At 50.6% G+C, this 22,113-nt stretch overlaps 2 protein-coding genes and 1 long non-coding RNA gene across 12 annotated transcripts in view, besides 2 other annotated features; 2 read left to right on the top strand and 1 right to left on the bottom strand.

The window, feature by feature from the left end:
• Positions 1-3,995, top strand: part of DLG4 (discs large MAGUK scaffold protein 4) — a 32,864-nt gene extending 28,869 nt beyond the window's left edge. For 6 of the 8 annotated variants that reach the window (NM_001365.5, NM_001128827.4, NM_001321075.3 and 3 more), the window contains one exon: positions 368-3,995. In NM_001365.5, the coding sequence (NP_001356.1) occupies positions 368-474 (107 nt within the window). In that variant the 3' untranslated portion in view covers positions 475-3,995. The remainder of the gene's footprint in view (positions 1-367) is intronic. The other 2 variants (NR_135527.1, NM_001321074.1) reach the window with 1 other exon arrangement.
• Positions 4,361-4,530: a silencer, noted in NCBI's record as "fragment chr17:7089971-7090140 (GRCh37/hg19 assembly coordinates)". NCBI's record gives its function as "represses an EF-1alpha promoter that drives an FKBP-Casp9 reporter gene in an ReSE screen in K562 erythroleukemia cells {active_cell/tissue: K562}" and the evidence as "EXISTENCE:reporter gene assay evidence [ECO:0000049][PMID:32094911]".
• ASGR1 (asialoglycoprotein receptor 1) lies at positions 11,812-17,751 on the top strand. 3 transcript variants are annotated; one of them, NM_001671.5, is made up of 9 exons: positions 11,812-11,992; positions 12,594-12,688; positions 13,856-13,972; positions 14,106-14,201; positions 14,281-14,352; positions 16,722-16,808; positions 16,893-17,044; positions 17,115-17,221; positions 17,349-17,751. In NM_001671.5, exons 2-9 carry the CDS (start codon positions 12,619-12,621, stop codon positions 17,521-17,523), a joined length of 876 nt encoding a protein of 291 aa, NP_001662.1. In that variant the 5' UTR covers positions 11,812-11,992; positions 12,594-12,618; the 3' UTR covers positions 17,524-17,751. The 3 variants fall into 3 exon arrangements, with proteins under 3 accessions (NP_001662.1, XP_011522163.1, NP_001184145.1); XM_011523861.3 differs by having other exon boundaries at positions 12,549-12,688; NM_001197216.3 differs by lacking the exon at positions 13,856-13,972.
• Positions 16,384-17,100: an enhancer, noted in NCBI's record as "H3K27ac-H3K4me1 hESC enhancer chr17:7077401-7078117 (GRCh37/hg19 assembly coordinates)". NCBI's record gives its function as "activates a minimal SCP1, AML or CMV promoter by ChIP-STARR-seq in naive H9 embryonic stem cells {active_cell/tissue: H9 hESC(naive)}" and the evidence as "EXISTENCE:reporter gene assay evidence [ECO:0000049][PMID:30033119]".
• On the bottom strand, positions 17,509-22,113 carry LOC124903911 (uncharacterized). Its single transcript, XR_007065601.1, has 2 exons — positions 21,997-22,113; positions 17,509-17,615 (listed from the first exon to the last, which is right to left on the bottom strand). It is a non-coding gene; the product is annotated as an uncharacterized LOC124903911 (long non-coding RNA).

Below are 22,113 nucleotides of genomic sequence, written 5' to 3'. Positions count from 1 at the left end.
CTTAGAAAGAGGTGCCCCTGTGGGCGCGGCATGGTGGCTCACGCCTGTAATCCCAGCACTGGCGGGCACCTGTAATCCCAGCTACTCGGTAGGCCGAGGCAGGAGAATCGCTTGAACCTGGGAGGCAGAGGTTGCAGTGAGCCGAGATCGCACCACTGCACTCCAGCCTGGCGCTAAGAGCAAAACTCAATCTCAAAAAAAAAAAAAAAAAAAAAAAAGAGGTGCCCCTGTGGGCGGGTGCAGCCCCAGGACTTATGGCTTGGAGAGTTGGAAAGAGGTGCCCCTTCCTCTGGGCTGGTGCAACCCCCTTGGCCAGGTGTCCTCTGGCCCTTCCTTGGCCTCACTCCCTGCTCCACCCCACTCCCAGCCATCGTGGAGGGTGACAGCTTTGAGGAGATCTACCACAAGGTGAAGCGTGTCATCGAGGACCTCTCAGGCCCCTACATCTGGGTTCCAGCCCGAGAGAGACTCTGATTCCTGCCCTGGCTTGGCCTGGACTCGCCCTGCCTCCATCACCTGGGCCCTTGGTCTGGACTGAATTGCCCAAGCCCTTGGCTCCCCCCGGCCTCCCTCCCACCCCTTCTTATTTATTTCCTTTCTAACTGGATCCAGCCTGTTGGAGGGGGGACACTCCTCTGCATGTATCCCCGCACCCCAGAACTGGGCTCCTGAACGCCAGGAACCTGGGGTCTGGGGGGGAGCTGGGCTCCTTGTTCCGAGCCCTTGCTCCTTAGGATCCCCGCCCCCACCTGCCCCCAATGCACACACAGACCCACCGGGGGCCACCTGCCCTCCCCCATCCTCTCCCACACACATTCCAGAAGTCAGGGCCCCCTCGAGGAGCACCCGCTGCAGGGATGCAGGGCCACAGGCCTCCGCTCTCTCCTAAGGCAGGGTCTGGGGTCACCCCTGCCCTCATCGTAATTCCCCATGTTCCTTGATTTCTCATTTATTTTTTCCACTTTTTTTCTTCTCAAAGGTGGTTTTTTGGGGGGAGAAGCAGGGGACTCCGCAGCGGGCCCCTGCCTTCCACATGCCCCCACCATTTTTCTTTGCCGGTTTGCATGAGTGGAAGGTCTAAATGTGGCTTTTTTTTTTTTTTTTCCTGGGAATTTTTTTGGGGAAAAGGGAGGGATGGGTCTAGGGAGTGGGAAATGCGGGAGGGAGGGTGGGGGGCAGGGGTCGGGGGTCGGGTGTCCGGGAGCCAGGGAAGACTGGAAATGCTGCCGCCTTCTGCAATTTATTTATTTTTTTCTTTTGAGAGAGTGAAAGGAAGAGACAGATACTTGAAACTTGGTGTGTGGCCTGGTTATTTGGGACCTGGGTGTGGAGGGAGATGGGCGCAGCAGAGTCAGATCCTTCTTCACTCCAAGCCAGAGAGGTTAGTGGCCTGGAAAATGGGCCAGGGAGGTAACTGGCAAATCAAGGAACCCGAGTTGGTGAAGACTGAGCCTGGGAAGGTCTGGAGCTCTGTCCAAAGTCATGACAGGCCAGAAAGGGGAGGCTGGAACTTGTCTGGGGCCCTGCAGACTTAGTCCAGCTCTGATCCCTGCCGGGCTGTCTCAGTCCTGTTGGGAAGCACAACAGTCCTTAAAGGAAAATAGAGAGGAAACTTCGTTCATTCATGTTCATGGAGTTGTGGACAGAGCTAGGATCTGGAAATGATTTTTTTTGTTTTTTTGTTTTTTTTTTTGAGACAGAGTCTTGCTCTGTCGCACAGGCTGGAGTGCAGTGGCTCGATCTCGGCTCACTGTGATCTCTGCCACCCTGGTTCAAGTGATTCTCCTGCCTCAGCCCCCTGAGTAGCTGGGATTACAGATTACTGCCACCATGCCTGGCTAATTTTGTATTTTTAGTAGAGATGGGGTTTCACCATGTTGGTCAGGCTGGTCTTGAACTCCTGACCTTGTTATCCACCCGCCTCAGCCTCCCAAAGTGCTGGGATTACAGGCGTGAGCCACCGCGCCTGGCCTGGAAATGATCTTTACAGAGTTCTGCTGATAAGAACTGCTGTGTGAATATACGCTAGGTTTCTTTATGCGCCCCCCCCACCCTTTTTTTTTTTTTTTTGAGACAGAGTTTCGCTCTTTCGCTCAGGCTGGAGTGCTGTGGTGCGATCTTGGCTCACTGCAACCTCTGCCTGCTGGGTTCACACGGTTCTCCTGCCTCAGCCTCTCGAATAGCTGGGATTACAGGCGCCTGCCACCACTCCTGGCTAATTTTTGTATTTTTAGTAGAGATGGGGTTTTGCTTTGTTGGCCAGGCTGGTCTCGAACTCCTGACCTCAGGTGATCCGCCCAGCTTGGCCTCCCACAGTGTTAAGATTACAGGCATGAGCCACTACGCCCAGCCTTTATGTCCTATCTCTATGGGAAAGATCTGAGGCAGCTTTGTAAATAATGAGGGTAGGAAAATAAGAATCTAAATGCCAAAGATGAAAACTGGAGAAATGTATATGAACTGTGAGGGTAAATGTGATCTCTGAGCTTCCTGATAGCCATGGCAAAAAAGGAAATTGTCAATTACCTACTTCTTTATTATAAGGGAGAAATAATTTTAGTTCTTTTAGGGAGTCATATTTTCCTGGCCCTAAGTCCTAACTGAAGCTCCTGAGATCCTGCTATGTAGAATGGTGACTCTCAGCCTTCTGCCTTCTTCATGTGTTTGGCACAGATGAACCTTTGGGGGCACCTGCTGGGGTACTATTCCTTTCTCTGATTCTCAGGTGCTCCAGTGGGTAAGGCTGAGGCAGAGGGCCCTAAGAGTTATGGTGGTTAAATCCCAAACAGTGCAAAAGGGCATTTTTTGTAGCCACTCCTGACTAAAGTTGAGAGTTTCATGCAAAAGACCAACCCAGGGGTAGTGATTCTGTGGATGGCATGGCCGTCCAAGCCTAAAGTAGTCCAAGAATAGAGGCAGAGATTGCTGAAGGGGTGTCACTTCAACCAGTAGCCACGTATTGCCCTGCAGGATTTTCTATGCAGGACCGAGTCCATCAGGATCCTGGGGATAGGGACCAGGGGTCTGCATTTCTGGAAAGCTCCCGGGTGATTTTGATGTCTCACTGGGTGGAGAAGCACTGCTTCAGAGGATTTTTTTTTTTTTTTTTTTGAGGTCGAGTTTCACTTTTGTTGCCCAAGCTGGAGTGCAATGGCGCGATCTCGGCTCACTGCAACCTCCAACTCCAGGGTTCAAGTGATTCTCCTGCCTCAGCTTCCCAAGTAGCTGGGATTACAGATGCGTGCCATAACACACAGCTATTTTTTAATATTTTTAGTAGAAACGGGGTTTCACCATGTTAGCCAAGCTGGTCTCAAACTCTTGACCTCAGGTGATCTGCCCGCCTTGGCCTCCCAAAGTGCTGGGATTACAGGCGTGAGCCACTGCACCTGGCCCTGATGTTTTTCAAATAATCCTTCTCTTAGCTTGGTTCTGTGTAATAGCAGATGGCTTGAGGCTGTGATAACGTTCTCTATCGTGAGCTGAAGGGAGAAATCTAGGAGCTGAGGAAGGTGTGTGCAGGTAATGCGTCTGCGTGTTAAACTAGAAGGGGCAGAATCACATATTTGACCTGGATGGGGTAGAATCACATAATTTTGCATGTATTATTATTATTATTATTATTATTATTATTGGAGACAGAGTTTCGCTCTTGTTGCCCAGGCTGGAGTGCAGTGGTGCGATCTCTGCTCACTGCAACCTCTGCCTTCCGGATTCAAGCTATTCTCCTGCCTCAGCCTCCCGAGTAGCTGGGATTACAGGTGCATGCCACCACGCCCAGCTAATTTTTTGTATTTAGTAGAGATGGGGATTTCACCATATTGATCAGGCTGGTCTCGAACTCCTGACCTCGGGTGATCCACCCCCCCCCCCCTCGGCCTCCCAAAGTGCTAGGATTACAGGCATGAGCCACCGCGCCTGGCCTGCATGCATTATTTTGTAAATTATAATCAGTACACGTACCTGACAACAATTCAAATAAATATAGAAATACATACTGTTTTTAAAAAGTTTCCTTCCTGTTTCCCTCCAGGCATTATTCCTCAGGGGAAGCACGGTTGCCGCTGGGGCTGTATTCTTCCAAGGCCATGGCCTGGCCGCTTGAGAAGGCAATGTAATTAATGCATTGGAGCCCTGGGCTCCCAAACAACATAGGTTCAAATCCTGGTTCCTCTTCTCCCCACACTTTTTACTTCTTTCAGTAAATACTTCCTTGGATGTTCCTTGGAACCAGGCAGTGTTCTAGATGCTGGGAAGGCAACATCCCTGTCCTTAGGGAACTTTGGGTGCATCCAGTGGAGATGACAGACTATAGGGAGTAAGTGAACACAGAGTGTTTAGACAATGATGGGTGCTACTATGAAAGAGAGTGATGGCCCTTGCTGGTTTAGACCGGGCGGTCAGGGAGGCCCCTTGCAGCATCATTTGGGTGGAGGCCTGAAGGACAACAAAGACTGGGGTGGTGAGAGTGTGCCAAGTAGGGAGACGAACAGTCTGGAAGGAATAAATTTGAAAGGTTGGAGGACAGAAGGAGGCCACTGGAGTGGAGTAGGGTGGGGGACAGAGAGAAATAGGTGTGTCAGAGAAGTCAGAGAGGCGTGGCACACAGGACTTCCCGTGGATTTTTCAGAGTGGTGTAGAAGCTGCTGGAGGGCTGTGGAGGGAACCGTGAGCCAGTTACTCTGGGTGTGAAGGGGAATACACAGCAGGGGGCAATGGAGAGCCAGCTAGGCTGTTGCTGGCGTTAGGATGAGGGACGATGGTGGAGTCACTGTCACTCTGGGGAGAGCTTAACCTCTCTAAGCCTCAGTATACCTAGCTGTAAAATGGAAATAACTACCTACCTTGGTGGATACTTGGGAGGAATAAACTGGAAAGTACACGTAAAGCCCTCAGCACAGTGCCTGACGCATGGTAGAAAATGGTAGCAATTATTGTCATTGGCCTCTTGGTCTATTTTCAGATATGCATAAGCCCAAAAGTTAAAGCCTGGAATCATTTGGAGTTTTAACAAGTTTTACCCTCAAAAAGTAGGAAAGAGGCAGGCCTGGCATGGTGGCTCACGCCTGTAATCCCAGCACTTTGGGAGGCTGAGGTGGGCAGATCACGAGGTCAGGAGTTCAAGACCAGCCTGGCCAACATGGTGAAACCCTGTCTCTACTAAAAAAACAAACAAACAAAAAAAGCTGGGGGTGGTGGCGGGCGCCTGTAATCCCAGCTACTGGGGAGGCTGAGGCAGGAGAATCCCTTGAACCCGGGAGGCGGAGTTTACAGTCAGCTGAGATTGCGCCACTGCACTCCAGCTTGGGCGACAGGGCAAGACTCTGTCTCAAAAAAAAAGTAGGAAAGAGGTATAGAGAGGGTCCTGGGTCAGAGAATCCTGGCTGTCCCAAGGTTGAAAAGGTGTGCCTGGGGTGGACAGAGTGGCATTGAGGAGGAGAGAGCTGGGGGGAGAGAGACCCTACTGGAGACAGGGAGCTTGGGCCCCCATTCCTGCAGGCCGGCTTCTTGTCAACTGCAGAGATGGGATATTGAAGCCCTTGGGGTGGGTTGTGTCAGCTCAGATTTAAACTTGTGTGCAGAGGCCCGTCTGCTCCTTTCAGCACTGGTGGTCCCCCTCTTCCCTTGCCCTGGCGCACAGCCCTCCAGCCCGAAAGGTTGGAGGATAGCCTTCCTTTTCCTCAACCTCCCCTGCTTCATCTCAACCCAATTCCTGCTCAGCCTCTTCTAGATATGGGACCATAGGCCGCCCTCTTTGGGAAGTTCGTGAAGAGCCTCTGCTTTGCCCCTCCTGCCTGTTTGTTCAGGTGCCTCTTTTCAGATCTGCGGGTATTAGACTCCCTGCAGGCCTGGGAGGAGGTCTAGCTCCAGCCCTTGGGTGCACAGGCCCATCCCAAACATGAGGCTGGAAAGTGCTCTGAGAGGGTTGGCAAGGACTGAGGGAGCTCAGAATCCTTCTCCATAGCAGGGGAAGGGACTGTCTCAACTCAGATAACCCCCGGGCCTCCAGCTCTGTCCCAGCGAAGTTGCTATAACCACCCTCTGGGGTGTGGGGACAGACATCCTCTGCCATCCTGATCCCAATCTTCTCCCTTTTCTCCTCCTCCCAAACTGGAAGAGGCCTTGGAGGTCTAATGCAACTCATGGCTGTGTTGCTAGTGAGAATAATAAAAATAAAATCAGCTAGCACGTGCTGAGCACCTGGTGTGTGCCAGCACTGCGCTAAGTGCTTTTCACTCATTATCCCATTTAACCTTGATGAGCACTCTGAGCGGGGCATGAACCCATTTTCCAGATGAGGGCAAGGTGGAGCAGGTCTGGCTGATGGAGGGCCTCAGGCTGGTTTTGCAGCATGAGCATCTTCCTGGAGCCTCCGGCCTTCGGCAAGCTTCTTGCTCAGCAGCCACAAGCCCTCTTGCTTCCAGCCCCTTCTCCTCTGTTCACCAGCGGCTCAGGCCTCCCCCAATCTGAAAATACTCCAGTCTTCCTGACTTACCCTTATGGGAAGTTCATTCCATTATCTCTCCTCAGCAAAATATATATATATATGTACACTTTTTTTTTTTTTTTGAGATGGAGGCTCGCTCTGCCACCCAGGCTGGAGTGCAGTGGTGCAATCTCGGCTCACTGCAAGCTCCGCCTCCTGGGTTCAAGCAATTCTCCTGCCTCAACCTCCAGACTACCTGGGACTACAGGCGCACGCTGCCATGCCCGGCTAATTGTTTTGTATTTTAGTAGAGACGTGGTTTCACCGTGTTGCCCAGGCTGGTCTCCAACTCCTGAGCTCACGAAATCTGCCCGCCTCGGCCTCCTAAAGTGCTAGGATTACAGGCATGAGCCACCGCGCGTGGCCTCCCTAGCAATATTTAACTTGGTGCTTATGGTCCCCAGAGCTGGCCCTGAAGCTTGGATGACTGCCAGGCCTGGGTACTTCCTTCTGCTTCTCCCACTGGCAGGGACTGTCCTGGGCTGCTTTCTTTCCACCATGCCCTCTCACGGAGCAGGGTCGCCACAGGGCACTTTGCCACACCTGGACCTCGCCCACAACTCTGCTTTCAGAGGCTCCTGCTCATAAGTCTCTTCAGACTCCAGACCCATCTACAGTAGCCTCTGGACCCTGGGCAGGTGTGCCACTGTCCCCCACCTCCCTGGTCCCCTCCTGACTGCACATTCAGTAGCTACAGGTCCACTTCATTCCCCTGCTAAAGTTCTGCTCATCTGGCCTTCCCTGTCTGGCCTCCAGCCTCACAGTTTCTCACTGAGACCAACGCAGCAGCCTCCTGATCTCATCTCCCTGCCTCTGGGCAAACCATCTCTGAGCCATCACCCACTCCAAGGCCAGGCTGTTGTTAAACTCACAGATCTGACCTCACCACTGCCCTGACTGCAACTCTTTATGGGTCTTCCTTTGTTATCAGCAATACAAAATTAATACAGGAGACTTTCTCCACAAGGAAAATCCAAGGTCCATATCCTCTAAAATTCTTCAATATTTGAAAACGTTATTAATTTGTATTAAAGAAAATATTTATTTATTTATTTATTTATTTATTTATTTATTTATTTATTTTGAGATGGAGTCTCGCTCTGTCGCCAGGCTGGAGTGCAGTGGCGGGATCTTGGCTCACTGCAACCTCCGCCTCCTGGGTTCAAGCCATTCTCCTGCCTCAGCCTCCTGTGTAGCTGGGACTACAGGCGCATAGAGAAAGGGTCTTGGTCTGTCACCCAGGCTGGAGTGCAGTGGCATGATCTTGGCTCACTGCAACCTCCGCCTCCCAGGTTCAAGCGATCCTCTCACCTCAGCCGCGTGAGTAGCTGGGACCACAGGCATGCACCACCACACCTGGTTAATTTTTTGTATTTTTGGTAGAGACAGGGTTTTTCCATGTTATCCAGGCTTGTCTCGAACTCTTGAGCTCAAGCCATCTGCCTGCCTTGGCCTCACAAAGTGCTGGGATTAGAGGCATGAGCCACCATGCCTGGCCAAAAAATTTATTTTCTTTTTTTTTCTTTTTTTTTTTGAGACGGAGTCTCGCTCTGTTGCCCGGGCTGGAGTGCAGTGGCGCGATCTCGGCTCACTGCAAGCTCTGCCTCCAGGGTTCACGCCACGCCATTCTCCTGCCTCAGCCTCCCGAGTAGCTGGGACTACAGGTGCCCGCCACCATGCCCAGCTAATTTTTTTTTTTTGTATTTTTAGTAGACATGGGGTTTCACCGCGTTAGCCAGGATGGTCTGGATATCCTGACCTCGTGATCCACCTGCCTTGGCCTCCCAAAGTGCTGGGATAACAGGCGTGAGCCACCGCGCCCAGCCAAAAAATATATTTTCAAGAAAGGCATTCAAATTTATTAGCATACACAGGGATAAACCACAGAGTGATTACCCTAACCAAGGTATATAATCTTTTTTTTTTTTCTTCCTAGACAGAGTATTGCCCTGTCACCCAGGCTGGAGTGCAGTGGCTCGATCTCGGCTCACTGCAGCCTCTGCCTCCTGGGCTCAAGCAATTCTCTGCCTCAGCCTCCCGAGTAGCTGAGATTACAGGCGCCCGCCACCATGCCTGGCTAATTTTGTTTTGTATTTTTAGTAGAGACAGGGTTTCACTATCTTGGCCAGGCTGGTCTCAAACTCCTGACCTCGTGATCCACCTGCCTCGGCCTCCCAAAGTGCTGGGATTACAGGCATGAGCCACCACGCCTGGCCTATAACCTTTAATTTAATTTCATTTAATTAATTTATTTACTTATTTTGAGACAGGTTCTCACTCTATCACCCAGGCTGGAGTGCAGTGGCACCATCATAGCTCACTGTGGCCTCAACTCCTGGGCTCAAGTGATCCTCCCACTTCAGCCTCCCAAGTAGCTGAGACTACAGGCATGATGGGGTCTTGCTATGTTGCCCAGGACATGTGTCTCAAACTCCTGGCCTCAAGCAGTCCTCCTGCCTTGACCTCCCAAAGTGTTGGGATGACAGATGTGAGCCACCAGATCCGGCCTAACATGTTCTTAAAGAAATAAATGTAAAGGGTGAATGAATTCTCAGAGGGCATCAATCTACCACCATTGTGGCATAGTTTTGTTTTTAGCTACTTTTTGGTTTTCAGTATTATCTCTGGTATTTTGCAGAGGGCTTGGAAGTTAGTGGCCTGGTACATGGTATTATTTGTTTGCCTTCCATCTCTGACTTCCATTCTAAAGTTACTTGCTTTGCCAAGGGTGGTGGCACAAACCTGTAATCCTAGCTACTCAGGAGGCTGGGGAGGGAGGATTACTTGAGGCCAGGAATTTGAGACCAGTCTGGGCAACACGGTGAGACCCCCATCTCTAAAAATAATAATAATAATAATAATAATAATAAATGTTATTGCCTTTAGAGGGTGTTTTTCAGCACTGATCCAAGCACTGCTCCCTAATCAATGAGTTTGGGGAATGTGGTTATAGAGTAGAAATCAGATTTGAAAGCCTCTTACTCCAATATAATGTGCAAACGGAAAAATGCACATATCATAACTGCATACCTTTCTGCAGCTTTGCAAGCTGAACACCACCACGGTGTAACCAGCATCCACACCCAAGAGCTGAAGTTTTCCGTCATCCCCGACGTGCCTCTTGTGCTCTTGGCTAGTCACTATTTCTGTGAGGGTGACCACTATTCTTTTTTTTTTTTGAGATGGAGTGTCCCTCTGTTGCCCGGGCTGGAGTGCAGTGGCACGATCTCGGCTCACTGCAACCTCTGTCTCCCGGGTTCAAGCATTTCTCCCGCCTCAGCCTCCCGTGTAGCTGGGACCACAGGTGCCTGCCACCACGCCTGGCTAATTTTTGTATTTTTAGTAGAGACGGGATTTCGCTATGTTGGCCAGGCTAATCTCGAACTCCTGACCTCAGGTAATCCGCCCGGCTCGGTCTCCCAAAGTGCTGGGATTACAGGCATGAGCCGCCGCGCCCAGCCGGGTGACCACTATTCCGACCGAAATAATGTAGGTTCATTTGCCTGAATAAGCCCGATTGTAAGTGATTATATTAGAGGATGTTTAATTAACAGCCCAACAGTCAACAAAATCACTGGCCATTGTCCCAGCACATATAAATGACATGGTGGTTGTCAGGACACAGACAAAGGAGGGCACACACAGACCTGTCACATTTTATGCAAGAGATGTGTTCCTGAATATCTCACATCATTGAAAACTCTCAAAATTCAAGCCTTGTTTTCTCACTGAAATAACTGTAAAATAGGATTTGGATGACTTCACATTTGGGCCTAAAGTGAGACTTATTATCTTTTTTTTTTTTTTTTTTGAGATGAAGTCTTGCTCTTGTCCCCCAGGCTGGAGTGCAATGGCGCGATCTCAGCTCACTGCAACCTCCGCCTCCCGGGTTCAAGCGATTCTCCTGCCTCAGCCTCCCGAGTAGTTGGGATTACAAGCGCCTGCCACCATGCCTGGCTAATTTTTATATTTTTAGTAGAGACAAGGTTTCACCATGTTGGTCAGGCTGGTCTCGAACTCCTGACCTCAGATGATCCGCCCACCTCGGCCTCCCACAGTGCTGAGATTACAGGCATGAGCCACTGTACCCAGCTGATACTTATTATTATTATTATTATTATTATTTTTTTTTTTTTTTTTGAGATGGAGTCTTGCTCTGTCACCAGGCTGGAGTGCAGTGGCATAATCTCGGCTCATTGCAACCTCCACCTCCCGGGTTTAAGCGATTCTCCTGTCTCAGCCTCCTGAGTAGCTGGGATTACAGGCATGCACCACCATGCCCTGCTAATTTTTTTATTTTTAGTAGAGACGGGGCTTCATCATGTTGGTCAGGCTGGTCTTGAACTCCTGACCTCAGGTGATCCGCCTGCCTCGGCCTCCCACAGTGCTGGGATTACAGGCGTAAGCCACTGCGCCCAGCCGAGACTTATCTTTAATATTGCCTGATTTCCAAGTGAGCATAATTCAAATTCACATGGCTCTCTCTGAAGCCCCGTGGGGCTGTGAGGGACCATCGTTTAGCATCTCTGGGACACTGGAGCCCAGCTGTGTCAACGGGATGGGATCCTGGCTCTGTGTGATGGGTGTGGTTCTGGGGCCCGAACGCAGTGCCTGGAGTCAGGCTGCCCAGGTTCTAGTCTACCCTTTGCTGCTTCCTTGCAGCATGACCCTGGGCAAGCTCTTACCTTGTAGGGCCTTAGCTTTCTCATCTGTGAAATGGGATGTGCTCTGGGGATAATGAGAGAAGTTCATGAACGCAGTGACCTGAGGCACACAGTAGTAGTGAGTGGAGGTTTGCTGGCACCAGTCCCAGCGGAGGCTCTCCTGCCTTTCCTGGAACCAAGCTGGCCCTCATGCTGCTTGGAGGACTTTACTCCCCAGGAGAGGGAAGCAAGTCAGGCCAGAGCTGGGAAGCCTGGGGCTCAGCCCCACAGGAAACTGGGGCCTGCGGCTCCGGTGCCAGGGTCACAGGTCTGGATTGGGCAAGAGCAGAGAACCGGTCCCTCTGATCCTGTTCAGGGATATTTGGAGACACCAATAGTTCTGGGGAATTTAGAGGCAGGAAGCGAAACGGGGAGGGAGGAGGGATATGGCAAATCCCACCCCAGCCCCTCCTGGCCTGGCACCCCTCCCAAACGGTGCACGGAAGAGTGAGGTGACTGGCATGTGTGGGGGCAACACGATTCTCCTCCCTGGGGAGCAGAGCAGAGGCAACCCATCCCCCACTCCCACCCCCACACTCCCCTAAGTTCCAATCCATTTCCACCTCTGTTTACTGTCCAAAGTCCCGGGCACTGGAGATGCCACGTTTGGCGTGCTTGGACACACAGACACGCAGACACAGAGACACCGGGGCCCAGGGCCCTCCTATGGACCCTGCCCGCTCCCCTCCCATTGTCCACGGCTGTCCGCCCACCCCCATTCTCCAAGCTTCAGCCCCCTCCTTAGTTCGGCATCTGCACAGCACTGAAGAACCTGGGAATCAGACCCTGAGACCCTGAGCAAGTAAAATGGGAAGAGAGGTGGCGGGAGGCTGGCTGGGGGTGCAGGGGTGCGGAGGGAACCCAGGGTGTGTTGGGGGGTGCTGGGTGGGAAACATCAGAGGATGGATTCTGGATGTCAGGCCTGGGAGGGGATGGAGGAAAGAAGAAAGCTCCCGGTGGGGCGCGGTGGTCCACGCCTGTAATCCCAGCACGTTGGGAGGCTGGGGTGGGTGGATTGCCTGAGCTCAGGAGTTTGAGACAAGCCTGGGCAACACGGTGAAACCCCGTCTCTACTAAAATACAAAAAAGTAGCCAGGCGTGGTGGCGTGCACCTGTTGTCCCAGCTACTCCAGAGGCTGAGGCAGGAGAACCGCTTGAACCCGGGAGGCAGAGGTTGCAGTAAGCTGAGATCATGCCACTGCACTCCGGCCTGGGGACAGAGCAAGACTCCCTCTCAAAAAAAAAAAAAAAAAGAAAAGAAAAAAAAGAAAAAGAAAAGAAAGAAAGAAGAAAGGTCTCCATGATGGAGCCGTCAATCAGATGGGAGTAAAGAGATGGGCCCCTCATTCCCACTCTAGTCCTGGTGAGCCCCCACCTCAGCCCCAGCCTCAGTCTTGACTCAGTCCCAGGTCCAGCGCCAGCCCTATCATGACCAAGGAGTATCAAGACCTTCAGCATCTGGACAATGAGGAGAGTGACCACCATCAGCTCAGAAAAGGTGAGGGCCACCTTGCCCTGCCTCTGCAAGGCGAGAATTTGGCGGTTCTCCACCCCCCAGCCACAGCTCCTACTCTTGCCCGTGAGCCTGGCTCTCTCTCTGGGTCTGTCTCCCTCCCCCAACACTGGGAAAGGTGTCGGAACTGCCTCTCTCAGGAGAGGGGCGGAGTGTGGGGTTGGAGTCCCTTTATTGGTGACAGGTGCCCAAAGCTTTCCTGTGCCTCCTGGCCCTCGGAGGTGGACCCGGGGGTGTGGGAACAGCTGGAAGCTGGAGAGATGAGGTCACTGTCGGCTTCCTATGACGAAGTCACGCCCCCTCTTCCTTTCCCCTTCCAACACCACCCAGGGACCCCGGTCGTGCGAGCGTGTGCGTGTGTGTGTCAGTGATCAGTTTGGTGAAGGGGGAAAAGGTTTCTGTGAAGGGTCTGAGGATTCTGTGAGGGGGGCGATGAGGGGTCTCTGACCTGAGGGAGAACGAGACTCTTTTGCTTCAAAAACAAATTCCCCTTGACCCATTTCTTTGTCCTCCGAGCAGGGAATTGTTTAGGCTGAGCAAGGATGAAGTTCGTGGGGGATGGGGTGCAGCGCGCTTTGACGGAAGGAGGGTCCGCAGCGGAGGAGACCCGGCAGGGAGGCCCCCCCAACCCTCCAGCTCTCAGGGCACAGGGCTAACGTGTCTCTTCCCCCTGCTGGGTGGAAGACTTGAGGGCCTGAATGGTAGCTATTGCACCTTCTCTCCCTGCACGCAGCCAAAGACAAGTGGAATTCATGGACAGAGAAAGAAACCTTCCTTCTTTCCCCACTTTCAGGGGAAGCAGCGACTCCGAGGCGCGGGCCACTCAATTGCGTTTCAAGGCGCGGGAGGAGGGGGTGGACTGAGGTTCCTGGATTGGCTGCAGTGACGCAGTCATGCCATTAGGTGTCAGCAAAAGCTCAGGGCCTCGGTGGGATGGGGCGGCTCAGCGCTTAGCCCCCTTCCCCAGCCCTCTTTTCTCCCCGATTTCCAGTTGCCTCTGGCCCTGCAGGGTCGCCCACCGCCCGCATTTCTTCATGTACATGGTTCCTCCTAGACTACTAGGGCCGCCTTAGCTTGCTACCCTTTTAGGACCCTGGAGCTGTGCCAGGGTCCCCTCTGTCCCCGCGCTCCTGACACCCCCTCCTCTTGCAGGGCCACCTCCTCCCCAGCCCCTCCTGCAGCGTCTCTGCTCCGGACCTCGCCTCCTCCTGCTCTCCCTGGGCCTCAGCCTCCTGCTGCTTGTGGTTGTCTGTGTGATCGGATCCCAAAGTGGGTGCCCCAGGGGTGGGAAGGGGGCAACATTGGGGGGTGTTGACGGGGGACCGTGGCAAGGGAGTGGTGGGTGCAGTGGTGGCGGACACAGCGATCCCGTTTTCTTCTCTCTGCACGCTGTCCTGGCCAGACTCCCAGCTGCAGGAGGAGCTGCGGGGCCTGAGAGAGACGTTCAGCAACTTCACAGCGAGCACGGAGGCCCAGGTCAAGGGCTTGAGCACCCAGGGTGAGGGCGCTGGGGCGGGGCTGGGGCTGGGGCTGGGGCTGGGGGGCTGTCGGGAACGCTGAGCGAGCCTCTCCCGCAGGAGGCAATGTGGGAAGAAAGATGAAGTCGCTAGAGTCCCAGCTGGAGAAACAGCAGAAGGACCTGAGTGAAGGTCAGAGAGGGAGTGTGTGTGTGTGTGTGTGTGTGTGAAAGAGAGTGAGAATGTGTGGATGTGTGTGAGAAAGTGTGAGTGTGTGTGGATGTGTGTGAGAATGAGAGGGAGTGTGTGTGTGTGTGAGTCTGTGTGTGAGAATGAGGGGGAGTGTGTTTTGGGTGTGTGTATGAGAGCCTTGTGTGGATGTGAGAATGAGAGGGAGTGTGTATGTCTGTGAGTGTGAGAATGAGATGGAGTGTGTGTGAGTCTGTGTGTGAGAATGAGGTGTGTGTGTGTGAGAATGAGATGGTGTGTGTGTGGGAATGAGAGGGGGTGTGTGTCTGAGTGTGAGAATGAGATAGAGTGTGTGTGAGACAGTCTGTGGGAATGAGAGGGAGTGTGTGTGAGAGTGTGAGAATGACGGAGTGTGTCTGTGAGTGTGATAATGAGGTGTGTGTGAGTCTGAGTGTAAGAATGAGATGGGGTGTGTGTGTCTGTGAGTGTGAGAGTGTGAGAATGAGGGGTGTTTGTGTCTGAGTGTGAGTCTGTGAGTGTGAGAATGAGATGGGGTGTGTGAGTGAGTGTGAGAATGAGATGGGGTGTGTGTGTCTGTGAGTGTGTGTGTGTTTGTGAGTGTGAGAATGAGATGGGGTGTGTGTGAGTGTGAGAATGAGATGGGGTGTGTGTCTGTGTGTGAGAATGAGATGGGTGTGTGTGTGACAGAGTCTGAGTGTGAGAATGAGAGGGAGTGTGTGTGAGTGTGAGAATGAGAAGGAGTGGATGGGTGTGTGAGTCTGTGTGAATGAGGGAGTGGGTGTGTGTACGAGTGTGAGTCTGTGTTTATGTGTGAGAATGTGTCAGTGTATGTGTGTGAGAACGTGTGTATGTGTGTTAGTGTGTGTTGCGTGTGTGGGGGAATGAGAGGGATTGTGTCTGTGAGTGTGAGAATGAGATGGAGTGTCTGTGAGACTGTGTGTGAGGAGTGGGAGTGTGTGTGAGAATGAGATGGGTGTGTGTGTCTGAGTGTGTGTCTGTGAGAATGAGAGGGAGTGTGTGTGTGTGTGAGAGCCTGTGTGAAAATGAGAAGGAGTGTGGATGGGTGTTTGTGAGTGGGAGAGTCTGTGTGTTTATGTGTGTGAGAATGAGGGAGTGTGGGTGTGTGTGCGAATGTGAGTCTGTGTTTATGTGTGTGAGAATGTGTCAGTGTATGTGAGAACGTGTGTGTTAGTGTGTTGCGTGTGTGAGAATGTAAGTATATGTGTAAGTGCATGTGAGTGTGTGTATGTGCGTGTTGTGTGAATGTGCATTGTGTGTGCATGTGTGAAAGAGTATATGTGTGTTGTGGGTGAGTGTGTGTGGTGTGTGTAGTGGGTGAGGGTGTGTTGTATGTGTGGGTGTGCGTTGTGTGAATGTGTGTATGTGGGTGAGGGTGTGTGTGCCTGTGTGAGGGTGTGTTGTGGTTTTTGTGTGTGTTTGGGTGAGGGTGTGTTGTGTGTGTGTGTGGGTGAAGGTGTGTTGTGTGTGTCGTGGGTGAAGGTGTGTTGTGTGTGTAGTGACTGTAGATTAGGGTGTGTTCCGTGTGTGTGTGTGAGGGTGTATGTTGTGGGTGTTTTGTGTGTGAGTGGGTGTGTAAGGGTGTGTTGTGTGTATGTGGGTTAAGGTGTGTTATGCGTGAGGGTGTATTGTGTGTGTGTTTTGTGTGTGTTGTGTGTATGTGGGTTAGGGTGTGTTGTGTGTTTGTGTGTTTTGTGTGTTGTCTGTGTATGTGGGTTACGGTGTGTTGTGCGTGTGAGGGTGTGTTGTGTATGGTGTGTTGTGTGTGTTGTGTGAGTGTGTATGTGAGTTAGGGTGTGTTGTGTCTATGTATGTGTGTGTAAGGGTGTGTTGTGTGTCTGTGGGTGTGTTTTGTGTATGTGGGTTAGGGTGTGTTGTGTGTTCTGTATTGTGTGTTTTATGTGTTGTCTGTATGTGGGTTATGTGTGTTGTGTGTGTTGTGGATGTATGTGGGTTAGGGTGTGTTGTGTGTCTCTGTGTGTTGTCTGCGTTTGTGTCTGTGGGTTAGGGTGTGTTGTATGTGTTGTGTTTTGTGTGTTGTCCGTGTGTGTGTATGTGGGTTAGGTTGTGTGTGTGTGTGTTGTATATTGTCTGTGTGTGTGTGTTAGGATGTGTTGTGTGTCTGTGTGAGTGTGTGTGTAAGGGTGTGTTGTGTGTGTAGGAGTGTGTGTGTGTGTGTGTATGGGGGTCTCTCAGGCCAACTCCGCTGCTGTTTGTGGCAATGCGACGGGTGTTCGGGTCCCAGCAGGAGGATGTAGGGCTGACCTCGTTTCCCGTTTCCCTCCCCGTGGTTTCCGCATCTCCTCCCGCTCCCCTCCGCCCGGTCTCCCCAGATCACTCCAGCCTGCTGCTCCACGTGAAGCAGTTCGTGTCTGACCTGCGGAGCCTGAGCTGTCAGATGGCGGCGCTCCAGGGCAATGGTAAGGAGGCCAGCCCGGCCCGCTCTCTGCCTCCCCCCTTCTCTGGGCAGCGCTTAGCCCCTGCGCCCCGTTTCTCCCGCTCAGGCTCAGAAAGGACCTGCTGCCCGGTCAACTGGGTGGAGCACGAGCGCAGCTGCTACTGGTTCTCTCGCTCCGGGAAGGCCTGGGCTGACGCCGACAACTACTGCCGGCTGGAGGACGCGCACCTGGTGGTGGTCACGTCCTGGGAGGAGCAGGTGAGGACCCGGAGGGTCTGGGAGGCTGGCTGGCCTCGGAGAGATCACCACCCGCCTTCTCTCTCCTCAGAAATTTGTCCAGCACCACATAGGCCCTGTGAACACCTGGATGGGCCTCCACGACCAAAACGGGCCCTGGAAGTGGGTGGACGGGACGGACTACGAGACGGGCTTCAAGTGAGTGCGCGCCCTCCCTCGGCCTGGGTCCGGCCGCCTTCGCGCCCTGGGGCCCTGGGCTGAGGAGTCTGGAGCGACCCGCCTGCGGATCCGACCTCCTGGGGCCCACAGCTGGCTCTGTCCCCAGGAACTGGAGGCCGGAGCAGCCGGACGACTGGTACGGCCACGGGCTCGGAGGAGGCGAGGACTGTGCCCACTTCACCGACGACGGCCGCTGGAACGACGACGTCTGCCAGAGGCCCTACCGCTGGGTCTGCGAGACAGAGCTGGACAAGGCCAGCCAGGAGCCACCTCTCCTTTAATTTATTTCTTCAATGCCTCGACCTGCCGCAGGGGTCCGGGATTGGGAATCCGCCCATCTGGGGGCCTCTTCTGCTTTCTCGGGAATTTTCATCTAGGATTTTAAGGGAAGGGGAAGGATAGGGTGATGTTCCGAAGGTGAGGAGCTTGAAACCCGTGGCGCTTTCTGCAGTTTGCAGGTTATCATTGTGAACTTTTTTTTTTTAAGAGTAAAAAGAAATATACCTAAACCTTCTGTTAGTTGTCTGGTTATTGGGGATTCGGAAGCAGGAGTGGGCTGGTTGGCATTACGAAGCCTTAGCGGGTGCTGTGGCATCATGAGAACTGTGTGGGCTTTGGGCCAGAATGGCCAGACTTTGTTATTTACAGATACGTGAGTTTGGGCAAATTATTGTTCTCTGTGTCCCAGCTGTAAACAAGCCATCTTACTGGAGGCCATCCTACTTGGAGCAATACCCCCAGGAGGAGAACTACCCGAATTTTTTTTTTGTAAGATGGAGTCTTGCTCTGTTGCCCAGGCTGGAATGCAATGGCACGATCTCAGCTCACTGCAACCTCTGCCCCCCGGGTTCAAGTGATTCTCCTGCCTCAGCCTCCCGAGTACCTGAGATCACAGGAGTGCACCATCACGCCCGGCTAATTTTTGTATTTTTAGTAGAGACCGGGTTTCACCATTGTTGGCCAGGCTGGCCTCGAATTCCTGACCTCAAGTGATCTGCCCCCCTCGGCTTCCCAAAGTGCTGGGATTACAGGCGTGAGCCACTGCCCCCGGCAGAACCACCCGAATTTGTTGAGTGCTTCAACAACTTCGAATGAAACTCACTGGTGTCCTTTGCATTCATTACAGCAAACAGAAGCAGTGTTCATAGACAGGTAGCAGATACAACGAACACACAACCAAGAATCACCAAACATACTAGGAAAACCAGTACTGCGGAACAGAAGCAACAAAGCGGATAGAATCAACAACCAAGGATGGGAGTTAGGACAAACCGATTCAGACATGGAACTGTGAACAAAAATTGCCAAAGTATTCACCCATAAACAAGACCTCAAGTGATTCCTAAGAGGAGCAATGCTCTGACCACAGTAAAATAAAGTTAGAAATGAACGTGAAAGTACAGCCAAGAAGAGATCTACCAACATATAATTTTCTCACCATCTTTTTTTGTATTACTGCCTAAGTAATTCTGAGTTTAAGAGAAAATCGAAATGAAAAAATCAAGTGATTTAGAAATACACTACAAGAGTACTGCATTTGCTGAAACCGTGGGATGCTCAAAGTAGTTCTCGGGAGAAAATGTAAGTAGAGATAAGCACTTCTATTATTTATTTTTATTTATTTATTTATTTTTGAGATGGAGTTTTGCTCTTTTTGCCCAGGCTGAAGTGCAATGGCGTGACCTCGTCTCACTGCAATGTCCACCTTCTGAGTTCAAGGGATTCTCCTGCCTCAGCCTCCCGAGTAGCTGGAATTACAGGCACCCGCCACCACGCCTGACTAATTTTTTATATTTTTAGTAGAGACGGGGCTTCACCATTTTGGTCAGGCTGGTCTCGAAGATAAACACTTTTACTAAAAAACAAGAAAGGCTGACTTGAAATATGCTGTTTCAACTCAAGAAACTTGAAACAGAATAAGATAAATCCCCTAAAGTAGAAGAAAAGAACTTATAAAACTATAAGCAGAAATAATGAACTAGAAAATAAAAATATAGATATGATCAAAAAAAGTAAAATTTGATGCTTAAAAAAGGCAAATAAGGCCGGGCATGGTGGCTCACACTTGTAATCTCAGCACTTTGGGAGGCTGAGATGGGCAGATTTCCTGAGGTCAGGAGTTCATGACCAGTCTGACCAACATGGTGAAACTCCATCTCTACTAAAAATACAAAAAAATTAGCCAGGTGTGGTGGTGGGCGCCTGTAATCCCAACCATTCAGGAGGCTGAGGCAGGAGAATTGCTTGAACTAGGGAGGTGGAGGTTGCAGTGGGCCGAGATTTCGCCACTGCACTCCGGCCTGGGTGACAGGGTGACAGAGCAAGACTCTGTCTCAAAAAAAAAAAAAAAAAAAAAGGCAAATAAAATAAAAATGAAGGAGAAAAAAAGGAGACACAGACATAACTTTAGAAAGGAGAAAGATTACGTAAGTAGAGACATAGGGGATATAATTACATAACACTTCCTGATTTAAAACAGTAAAGCAAATACAGTGTTTTTCCTGCCATTATTGTAATTTTTAGGCAAATCTCTTAGAAGCTGGGTTATAACTTTCAAACTTATAAGCAGGAAAAACGAAGAAAAAAATTAAACTAAAGGAAGAGAATAAAGGAGAAAAAAACCCAGAAGAGGTAGATAAGAAAAAACACAAAAGGTTGGTTATGAATCCACATATGTTGCGGATTTTATTAAATGCAAAATACCAAGTTATCTTGTTAAAAGACAAAAAAACTTTCCAGACAGAATAAAAAATAAAATCCAACTATATGCCCAAGAGCCACATCTGAAACAGGCTGGAAGCAAAATGATGAAAGACACATTGGTCAAATTCCAACCAAATGACTATCATATGAAGTACACTTTGTTTTATTTTATTTTTATTATTTTTATTTTTTATATATATTTTTTGAGATGGAGTCTCACTCTGTCACCCAGGCTGCAGTGCAGTGGCACCATCTCGGCTCACTGCAACCTCTGCCTCCCGGGTTCAAGCAATTCTCTGCCTCAGCCTGCCGAGTAGCTGGGATTACAGATGCCCGCCACCATGCCTGGCTAATTTTTGTATTTTTAGTAGAGACGGGGTTTCACCATCTTGGGCAGTCTGGTCTTGAACTCCTGATCTCATGATCCACCCGCCTTGGCCTCCCTAAGTGCTGGGATTACAGGCATGAGCCACCACACCCAGCCATGAAGTATAGTTTATAACAAAAAGTATTATTAGAGATAAAGAGGATCACTTCCTAATGATAAAAGGTTCAATTCAACAGGAAGATACACTAGTACTAAATATGCATGCACTGAATAACATAGCCACAAAATACGTGAAACAAAAATTTTAGAGGTATAAGAAAACAGACAAGTTTACATTCATAATAGATTATAAAATATCTCACTAATTGATAGATCAAGCAGACAAAACAATAAGGATACAGATGTTTTGAATCCCAGATCGAACTATTATGATCTAATGGACACATTTAGTACACTGTACTCATCAAATACAAAATACCCCCCCTTTTATTTTTGAGATAAGGGTCTTGCTATGTGGCCCAGGCAGGTCTCAAACTCCTGGACTCAAGCAATTTTCCTGCTTTAGCCTCCCGAGCAGCTGGAATTACAGCCATAAGCCCCCATACCCAGTGGAATACCTGTTCTTTTCAAGTATACTGAGACATTCTCAAAAAATTGAGCAAATACTGGGCCATTAATCAAGCTTTAACAATTTCCAAATGGAGGCTTTTCATTATAATGACCAGGAATGTAAAATTCTTTTTTTTTTTTTAATTGAGACAGAGTCTTGTTCTGCTGCCCAGGCTGGAGTGCAGTGGTGTGATCTCAGCTCACTGCAACTTCTGTCTCCCAGGTTCAAGCAATTCTTGTGCCTCAGCTTTCTGAGTAGCTGGGATTACAGGTACACACCATCATGCCCGGCTAATTATTATTATTATTATTGTTATTATTTTTTGAGACAGAGTCTCACACTGTCACCTGGGCTGATGTGCAGTGGTGCAATCTCGGCTCGCTGCACCTCTGCCTCCCAAGTTCAAGTGATTCTCCTGCCTCAGCCTCCCAAGTAGCTAGGATTACAGGTGCCCACCACCAAGCCTGGTTAATTTTTTGTATTTTTAGTAGAGACAGGGTTTCACTATGTTGGCCAGGCTGGTCTATTGCGGGATCTGGCCAGCAGCCCGCAGTTGCAACGCATTGCAATGCAGCCCGCAATGGCTCTTTCTTTGTTCCCAGGTGGATTGGCAGGTTGAGAAATAAAAGACACACACAAGATAGTGAAAGCTGGGTCCAGGGGCGTCACCGCCTTTTGGTCCTGTGATGCCGCCAATGCACTGGATATACCAGCATTTGTTATGAAGTTTAGTGAGGGTGGGGGTAGGTTAGTGAGGGATTTAGGGTCGTTTGATTATGAGGTGAGATGGTCACATTGGGGATGAAGTAATTCTTTAACATAACATCAGTATGCAGAAGTACAGTGTACAGAGATAAGAATATACAATATAGTGTGTGCGTCAGCAATTTCTAACAGAGCCTTAAAACAGAAACACAGTCTATCCCTAACCTATGATTAGCAAGATATTAATCAGCAGTAACAGTTGCAGCAAAAGCTGGTTACAAACAATCCATAGAAACAGGATGTGAAGCTAGACAACCAGTTAGACCAAAAATTCTCAGAAGGGAGTATGCCTTAACCCTAAAGAGGCCTAGAAGAGCCGTGGCAAGATAAGGGCATTTATAACCCTACCTTATCCATATGAACAGGTGCCCTTCATGCGTCCGTTTATAGGCTCTCCACAAGGGTCGCATTCCACTCCCAGAGCTATGAACATCTGCTTTTCTGGGATAGGAATCTGGGAGATAT

The sequence above is a fragment of the Homo sapiens genome, chromosome 17 (assembly GCF_000001405.40).
Source record: "Homo sapiens chromosome 17, GRCh38.p14 Primary Assembly".
Classification (NCBI taxonomy): domain Eukaryota; kingdom Metazoa; phylum Chordata; class Mammalia; order Primates; family Hominidae; genus Homo; species Homo sapiens.
Note: the sequence above shows the minus strand (reverse complement) of the source record. Positions and strands in the feature narration are given on the sequence as shown.